Below are 9,422 nucleotides of genomic sequence, written 5' to 3'. Positions count from 1 at the left end.
CATTTAAAAAAATAACATAATTGGCTGGGCATGGTGGCTCATGCCTGTAATCCCAGCACTTTGGGAGGCCAAGGTGGGCGGATCATCTGAGGTCAGGAGTTCGAGGCCAGACTGGCAACATGGTGAAACCCTGTCTCTACTAAAAACACAAAATAATTAGCCAGGTGTGGTGGCAAGCACCTGTAGTCCCAGCTACTCGGAAGGCTGAGGCAGGAGAATCTGTTGGACCTGGGAGGTGGAGGTTGCAGAGCCAAGATCTGCCACTGCACTCCAGCCTGGGCAACAGAGCAAGACTAGACTCTGTCTCAAAAAATAAAATAAAATAAAATAAAATAAAATAAAATAAAATAAAATAAAAATAAATAAATAACATAATATAATCTCATAATTAATATTTTACAGAATTATGTTTCTTAACTTTAAAAAGCCTTGTAAAAACTCATATCACTTGAGGTAAAAAAGTATTTATCTAAAATTAAGCAGTTCTTTGATTTTAATTTACTAATTTATTTTTTAAGCCTTTTATTTTAAAATTTTATTTTATTTTTAATTTTTATTTAATTTAATTAATTAATTTATTTATTTATTTTTGAGACTGGGTCTTGCTCTGTCACTTGAGTACCTTCCGGGCTCAAGTCATACTCCCATCTCAGCATCCCAAGTAGCTGGGACTACAGGCATGCACCTACCATGACTGGCTAATTTGCTAATTTGTTCATTGTTTTGTACACATAGGGGTCTTATTATGTTGCCCAGGCTGATCTCGAACTCCTGGCCTCAAGCAGTCCTCCCCGCTCAGTTTCCCAAAGTGCTAGGATTGAGCCATCGTGCCTGGCCCTATTTTTAAATTTTTTTTGAGGCAAGGTCTCACTCTGTCATCCAGGCTGGAGAGGTTCAATCACAGTTCACTGCAGCCTCAACCTCCCAGGCTCAAGCCATCCTCCCATCTCAGCCACCCAAGTAGCTGGGACTACAGGCATGCATCACCAGGCCAGGCTAATTTTCATATTTCTTGTAGAGATGGGGTTTTGCCATGTTGCCCAGGCTGGTCTTGAACTCCTGGCCTTAAGCAATCTACCTGCCTCACCCTCCCAAATTCCTGGAATTATAGGCATGAGGCACTGCACCCAGCTGAAATAATTTTAAATATACAGAAAATTTGCAAAATGCTCCCCATATGCCCTTCACTCAGCTTCCCTAATGCTAACATCTTACCTGTTTGTCCAAATTAAGATATTAACATTGGTATAAGGCTATTAACTAAATTATAGACTTTATTTCGCCAGTTTTTCCACTCATCTCCTATTTCTACCCAAGGATTTCATCCTTTAGTAATCAGCGTCTCCTTGGTCTCCAATCTCTGACAGTTTTTCTGTCTTTCCTTGTCTTTCATGACCTCGACACTTCTGAAGAGTCCTGGCCAGATGTTTTGTAGAAGATCTCTCGATTTGCATTTGCATGATGTTTTCTCATGATTACATTGAGACAGATTTGGGGGAAGAGCACCACGAAGGTAAAAATGCCTATCACGTGGTATATAGTATGGACATGACTTATTACAGGTGATGTTAACCGCGATCACTTAGTTAAGGTGGCATCTACCAGGTTTGTCTGCTGTGAAGTCACTGCTTTTCTCCTTTCATACTCTAATTCTTAGAAATGCATGACTAATCCAGCCCTTACTCAAGAGGAGGGGAATTCATCTCCTCCTCCTTGAGGGAGGAGTATCAAATAATTTGTGGACATAGATTAAAATCACCACAGTAATTAGTAAGTATTTTAGAGAGGAACTTTGGGGACTTCATCAGTGGATCTTGCCTGCAGTCATTAGCACTTGTCTCCTAATGGTGATGCTCTATTGCCCCCATCCTTCTTATTTGGAATATTATTCACATGATTACATCCCACATTTATTATCTGGAATTCTCTATAAAGATTAGTCTCCCGTCTCCCCCATTTATTTATTTAGTCAATCATTTGTCTGTACCAGTATGACCTTGTGTATCTTTATTTTATTCTTTGCATTATAATCCAACAGTATCACGATCTATTTTGTTGTTCAAATTATTCTAGCCCTGGCCACTGGGAGCTTTTTTCAGGTTGGTTCCTCTGTCCTTTTTCCTTTCTATTACCTAATGGACTTGATATTTTAGAGCAGTTTTGGGTTTATAGAAAAATTGAGCAGCAAGTGCAGAGCGTTCCCATATATTCCCTCACACCCCCACTCACACACACACGCCTTCTCCTGTTATTAGTATCTTGCCTTACTGTGGTACATATGTGACAACTGATGAGCCAATATTGATATATTATTTTTCACTAAAGTCCATAGTTTACACGAGTAGTCACTCTTTGAATTGTGCATTCTGTGGGTTTTGACACATAGGTACTGACATGGGTCCACCATCATAGTATCATACACAATAGTTTCATTGCCCTAAAAATCCTGTGCTCCACCTAGACATCTTCCCTCTTTCTCCCTGAACCCCTGGCTACCACTGATCCTTTTACTGTGTTCATATGTATTAGTCCGTTCTCACATTGCTATAAAAAACTTCCTGAAACTGGGTAATTTGTAAAGGAAAGAGGTTCAATTGACTCACAGTTCAGCATGGCTGGGGAGGCCTCAGGAAACTTACAATAATGGAAGAAGGTGAAGGGGAAGCAAGGAACCTTCCTCACAAGGTGGCAGGAAGGAGAGTGAATGCAGGAGGAACTACCAAACACTTATAAAACCAACAGATTTCCTGAGAGCTCACTCACTATCACGAGAACGGCATGGGGAAACCGCCCCCATGATTCAATTATCTCCATCTGGTCTCTCCCTTGACACGTGGGGATAATGAGGATTAAAATTCAAGATGAGATTTTGGGTGGGGTCACAGGAAAACCGTGTCACCATTGTTCCAGAATGTCATATAGTTGGGATCATACAGAAGCCTTTTCATATTGGCTTTTCGGAGAGAGAGAGTCTCTCTCTCTGTCACCTAGGCTGCAGTGCAGTGGTGTGATCCTAGCTCACTGAAGCCTTGAACTCCTGGGCTCAAGCAATCCTCCCACCTCTGCCTCCCAGGTAGCTGGGACTACAAGCACATGCCACCATGCCTGGATAGTTTTTTTATTTGTGTAGAGATGGGGTCTCATTATGTTTCCCAGCCTGGTATGGAACTCCTGGCCTGAAGCAATGCCCCTGCTGGCCTTGGCCTCCCAAAGTGCTTGGATTACAGGTGTGAGCCACTGTGCCCACCCAAGAGATTTGCTTTATTTTGTTTAGAAAGGGGGGGGTCTCACCAGATTGGCTTCTTTCAGTTTACAATATGCATTTGAGGTTCCTCCATGTCTTTTTGCAGCTTTATAGCTCATTTCTTGTTATCTCTGAATAATATTCCATTGTTTAGATGTATCACAGTTTATCTGTTCACCTATTGAAGAACATCTTGGTTGCTTCCAAGTTTTGGCTATTATGAAAAAGCTGTGTAAATATACATGTGTGGGTTTTTGTGTGGCTCTAAGTTTTCAACTCATTTGAGTGAATACCAAAGAATACAATTTCCAGACTGTATAGTAAGAGTGTGTTTAGTTTTGTAAGAAACTTCCAAATTGCCTTCCAAAGTGGCTATGTCATTTTGCATTTCCACCAGGAATGAATGAGAGTTCCTGTTGCCACACATCCTCACAGCACTTGGCACTGTCGGTGTTTTAGATTTTTAGCTATTCTAATAGGTGTGTAGTGGTATCTTGTTGTATTTTGCAATTCCCTACTGATTTATGATGTTGAGCATATTGTGTCCTTTTGACATGCCTCCATCCTCTTTGTTTCTGTAAGCACTTTCTTTCTGGCATTACAAGATGCTCCAGGTTCATCTTACCTTTTCTATGTATATTAATTCATTATTGAATTGCTATAAAGAAATACCTGAGACTAGGTTAATTTACAAAGAAAATAGGTTTAATTGGCTCATGGTTCTGTAGGCTATACAGGAAGCATGGTGCTGGCATCTGCTCAGCTTCTGGGGAGGCCTCAGGGAGCTTTTACTCATGGTGGAACGCACAGGGAGAGCAGGCGTCTCACTTGGTTGAGTGAGGGCAAGGGAGAGTGGGGCAGGGGAGGTGACACACTTTACAACAATCAGATCCCACAGAACTAACTCACCATCACAAGGATAGCACCAAGCAAAGTGGCATCTGCCCCCATGATCCACACAGCTTCCACCAGGCTCCACCCCCAACATTGGGGATTAGAATTCAACATGAGATTTGGTAGGGATATATATTGAGACCATATTATTCCACCCCTGACACCTCAAAGCCCATGTCCTTCTCATATTGCAAAATACAATCATGGCTTCCCAACAGTCCCTCAAAGTTTTAACTCATTTCAGCATCAACTCAATCAGAAGTCCCAAGTCCAAAGTCCAAAGTTGTATCTGGAAATGAGTTCCTTTCACCTATGAGCCTATAAAATCAAAACAAGTTATTTACTTCAAAGATACAATGAGGGTACCAGCATTCGGTAAACATTCCTGTTCCAAAAGTTAGAAATTAGCCAAAAGAAAGGGGCTATAGGCCCCACACAATGCTGAAACCTGGCAGGGCAGTCATTAAATCTTAAATAGTCTCCTTCGACTCCACGTCCCACATCCGAGGCACACTGGTGGAAAGGGTGGGCTCTGAAGGCCCTGGGCAGCTCTGCCCCTGTGGCTTTGCAGGGTTCAGCCCCCATGGTTCCTCTCACGGGTTGTTGAGTGCACACTGCTTTTCCAGGCAAAGGGTGCAAGCTGCCAGTGAATCTCCCATTCAGGGGACTGGAGAATTGTGGCCCCCTTCCCACAGCTCCACTAGGCAGTGTCCCAGTGTCAACTCTGTGTGGGGGTTCCAACCCCACATTGCCCCTCCACAGTGGCCTTGTAGAAGTTCTCTGTGTGGGCTCTGTCTTGCAGCAGGCTTCTGCCTGGGCACACAAACACAGTCTTTCTCATACATCCTCTGAAATTGGCATAGGCTGCCAAACCTTCACTTTTGCACCCTGTGCACCCACAGGCTTAACACCATGTGGAAGCCACCAAGGCTTACAGCTTGCATTTTCCAAAGTGGCAGCTCAAGGTGTACCTGGGCCTTTGTGAGCCCTGGCTGGTGCTGGAGCAGCTGACATGTGGGAAGCACTGTTCCAAGGCTGTGCAGGGCCGCAGGCCCTCTCCCTCCAAACCATTCTTTCCTCCTGAGTTTCAGGGCCTGTTATGGGAGAGGCTGCCTCCTAGATCTCAGAAATGCCTTTGAGGCCTTTTCCCCATTGTCTTGGCTATTAGCACTTGGCTCTTTTTTAGTTATGCAAATTTCTCTAGCAAGGAATTCAAGCCTGCTTGAATTCCTCTCCCAAAAAAGATTTTCTTTCTTTGCTACATGGCTAGGCTGCAAAATTTCCAAATTTTTATGCTTTGCTTCCTTTTTAAATATAAATTTCAACTTTAGATCATTTATTTGCTCCCATATCTGAGCATAGGTAGTTAGAAGCAGCCAGACTACATCTTGAGCACTTTGCTGCTTAGAAGTTTGTTCTTCAAGATACCCTAGGTCATCACTAGTGGAAGCAGGTACTTCGCATGCCATAGCAGGAGCAAGAGAGAGACAGTGGAATGGAGGGAGGTGCCAAACACTTAAATAACCAGATCTCACAAGAACTCACTATCATGAGCACAGCACCAAACTATGAGGAATCCACGCCCATAACCCAAACACCTTCCACCAGGCACCACCTCCAACATTGCAGTTTACATTTCAACATGACATTTGGGTGAGGACAAAATATCCAAACCATATCACTCTATTTCAACCCTAGAATCGGCCATTTCTCCAGGCAACTCAAGTTTCTTTATTGGTGAATGTTGTTTAGAATTCAAGATGTGGATGCAAGGTGGGGCATGGTGGCTCATGCCTGCAATCCTAGCACTTTGGGATGCCAAGGCAGGTGGATCACCTGAGGTCAGCAGTTCAAGACCAGCCTGGCCAACATGGTGAAACCCTGTCTCTACTAGACATAATAAAAAAAAAATTAGCTGGCCATGGTGGCGCATGCCTGTAATCCCAGCTACTTGGGAGGCTGAGGCAGGAGAATCGCTTGAACCTGGGAGATGGAGGTTGCAGTGAGCCGAGATCGCGCCATTGCACTCCAACCTGGGTGACAGAGCAAGACTCTGTCTCAAAAAAAAAAAAAAAAAAAAAAAAAAGCCAGGCACAGTGGCTCACGCCTGTAATCCCAACACTTGGGGAGGCCGAGGCAGGCAGATCACGAGGTCAGGAGTTCAAGACCAGTCTGGCCAACATAGTGAAACTCCGTCTCTACCAAAAACACAAAAAATTAGCCAGGTGTGGTGGTGTGTGCCTGTAATCCCAGCTACTCGGGAGGCTGAGGCAGGAGAATCGCGTGAACCCAGGAGGCAGAGGTTGCAGTGAGCTGAGATTGCACCACTGCCCTCCAACCTGGGTGACAGAGCGAGACTCCATCTCAAAAAAAAAAAAAAAGATGTGGATGCTAGGTGCGCTTGTTGTTACTGAAGTGTCACTACTTCTAGGCTCAGAGGCAGAGCTATGACATATATGTATCTACACATAACTATATTTCTGTCTATATCTATCTATATTTACATTAAAATAAGCCTGAATGCACACTGACTGACTCTAATGCAGCATTCTAGCCTTCATTCTAGCCTCCTCATTTCCCCATTTGTAAATTTTTTCTCCGAAAGTGAAAAACCTAGCTCTAGTATGTACAAAATGTATACTTATTTGTTCAACCTAGCAAACAAGCAAAGTAGTTTTACAATTGCTAACCTGGACTGCCCTGAGAAACAAATTAATGACAGTAGTGTTTGTGTTTTACTCTTTTCCTCTTTAATCTTACAGTATCCAGTCAAAAGATCGTTTTTCATTTACTTGGGTCAGCTCCTTTTTCCCCATTGAACTTGGCTTTTATGCTTTTAAAAAGTCAAATCATATTAAACATGATACTTTCAAGTTGGGAACAGGATATTTAATATGCCATATTATTATAGTACACTTCTTCACTTTTCCTGCTATTTATCTACCCATGCTTCTCTCTGTATGTATGTATAAAGAGATATCTGGAATTGCATGAATCCAGTGTTAAAAACATTGCTTCTAAATGATGGAATGGGGAGTGACTTTTTTACATTATTCAGATACTGTTCCATTATTAATTTTTATAATAAGCGTATATTATTTTTTACAGAAAACAATAAATTGTTGTCTAAACTAAGGGAGGAAATGGGCAACAGGTGAAATATTGCTGAGGGGGAAATTCCTACTGGATTTCGTGGAACAGAGGTCATTTCTGAGCCTGATGAGAGTCATCACTTCTGGCAGAGTTGGTTGAGGAGTAAATGGAAGGCAAGGATAAGGCAGGTGACTAAGATGAGTGCTTCTCACCCTAGTAATCATCATTCCCTGTTGCTTGACTGGGAATCACACATTCAAACCTGTTTCTGGTCCCCATCCAGCAGAGGTTCAATTCTGTAAGTCTAGGGTAGAGCAGATCACTGGCTTTTTTACCAAGCTCCCAGGCACTGCTGGTCCCTAGTCCGCACTGAGTGGCACTGGGTGGTGCGGACATGTCGCCTGGGAAGGTTAATCAGCAGTGAGAGAGGCAGGAGAGGAAGATGGCTGGGGTGGCTTGTGGGCTAAGGGAGCTTGCTTTGTTCAAATTACTTGTATTGTTGTTTATTTTTTGGGTGCATCTAATGATACATAAGCACAAAAATGAAAGAATTACCAAAAGAAATAGACAAATCAAAAACCTGAGTGGGAGATTTTAGCACTCGGTAACTTACAGAGCAAGCTGACAAAAAACAGTCACTAAGTGTATAGATGATATGAATAACATGATTCACAAACAATGCCTGGGAAATACAGAGAAATACATCAAGTAACGACAGAATTACTTTCAAGGGTACATGGAATTTGCCAGAACAATCCTACTGGGCCATAGAATAAGTGTTAACAAATTTCAAAAGATTGAAATAATAGGACGGTCTGGGTTTTGGCCACTGTGAAATCAGTAGCCATATAACTACAACATTTTTGAATGGTTAGAATTGTTGTAATACATGTCTACTTTCGTAACTTTTTACTTGGAAATAATTTTAAATTTACCAAAAAAAGTTGCAAAAATAAAAATAGCAGAAAGACCACTCATAGAGCCTTTACCCAGATTCACTTAATTGTAACATTCTATCCCCTTGGCTTTATCATTCTCTCCCTTCTCCTTCCTTTAAGTGAACCCCCTTAAAAAAGGGTCCCCCAGCCTCCAGTAGAGCTGCCCCAGTTGAAGCCTCTGCACAGAGCAGAGCTGAGCCTTACCCAAAAGTACAGATTTGTAAGCTAAATAAATGTTTCTTTCTTTGTTTTTATTTTGATTATTTTAAAATTTTTTTTGAGATAGAGTTTTGCTCTTGTCGCCCAGGCTGGAGTTCAATGGCGTGATCTCGGCTCACTGCAACCTCCGCCTCCTGGGTTCAAGTGATTCACCTGCCTCAGCCTCCCAAGTAGCTGGGATTACAGGCACCCGCCACCGTGCCTGGCTAATTTTTGTATTTTTAGTAGAGACGGGGCTTCACCATCTTGGCCAGGCTGGTTTCAAACTCCCGACCTCAGGTGAACCCCCAGCCTTGGCCTCCCAAAGTGCTGTGATTACAGGTGTGAACCACCACGCTCCCCCTTGTTTGTCTGTTTTTAGAGACAAGGTCTCACTCTATTACCCAGGCTGGAGTGCAGTGGTGCAATCGAAGTTCATTGTAACCTCAAACTTCTGGGCTCAAGTGATCCTCCAGCCTTAGCCTCTTGAGTAGCTAGGACCGTAGGCATGCGCCACTGTGTCTGGTTAAATTAAAGCCAATGAGTTTTGGGGTGTCTTGTTACACGGTAATAGAAACTAGAACAGACACTGTGGAGCAGGAGAGTGCGTGGTCCTGAGATACATTATTTCCAGGGGACCAGTCTACCCTAGGCAGTGGTTTTCTCCCTCTGCCCTGGTGCAGGTAAAGAAGCAGCTGAGAATTCACTCATTTAAAGTTGGAGTTTCATAGGTGGGTGAAAAAGATAGATGGAAGAAAGGATTCAGGAATTGGCAGGAGTTACTGAAGAGGTGAACCGCTGAGGATTCTAACTTGGATACAAAGAAAGGGAAGGTGGGAGATGGTGACCAGAAAGGAAGTAAACCAAGAGGTCAGGGCACTCAAGATCCAGTGAAGGGAAAGGATGGTTGTCATGGAAGTAGCTCAGTAGACAAGATGGAATCCAGGACCAGGATCTAGCAGAAAGCTGCATTAGCAATCCTGGCCACAGGGCATGGCAGTTTGGGGTCTTGATGGGGACTTGATGGGGACTGGCTACTGCTGATTGTCTTTCAC

At 43.1% G+C, this 9,422-nt stretch overlaps 3 annotated features.

Moving 5' to 3' along the window:
• Window positions 3,564–4,342: an enhancer, noted in NCBI's record as "H3K27ac-H3K4me1 hESC enhancer chr11:44693845-44694623 (GRCh37/hg19 assembly coordinates)". NCBI's record gives its function as "activates a minimal SCP1, AML or CMV promoter by ChIP-STARR-seq in naive H9 embryonic stem cells {active_cell/tissue: H9 hESC(naive)}" and the evidence as "EXISTENCE:reporter gene assay evidence [ECO:0000049][PMID:30033119]".
• Window positions 4,343–5,122: an enhancer, noted in NCBI's record as "OCT4-NANOG-H3K27ac-H3K4me1 hESC enhancer chr11:44693065-44693844 (GRCh37/hg19 assembly coordinates)". NCBI's record gives its function as "activates a minimal SCP1, AML or CMV promoter by ChIP-STARR-seq in primed H9 embryonic stem cells {active_cell/tissue: H9 hESC(primed)}" and the evidence as "EXISTENCE:reporter gene assay evidence [ECO:0000049][PMID:30033119]".
• Window positions 5,123–5,902: an enhancer, noted in NCBI's record as "OCT4-NANOG-H3K27ac-H3K4me1 hESC enhancer chr11:44692285-44693064 (GRCh37/hg19 assembly coordinates)". NCBI's record gives its function as "activates a minimal SCP1, AML or CMV promoter by ChIP-STARR-seq in primed H9 embryonic stem cells {active_cell/tissue: H9 hESC(primed)}" and the evidence as "EXISTENCE:reporter gene assay evidence [ECO:0000049][PMID:30033119]".

The sequence above is a fragment of the Homo sapiens genome, chromosome 11, assembly GCF_000001405.40.
Source record: "Homo sapiens chromosome 11, GRCh38.p14 Primary Assembly".
Lineage (NCBI taxonomy): Eukaryota > Metazoa > Chordata > Mammalia > Primates > Hominidae > Homo > Homo sapiens.
The sequence above is the reverse complement of the archived record's forward strand: the minus strand, read 5'-3'. Positions and strand labels throughout refer to the sequence as shown.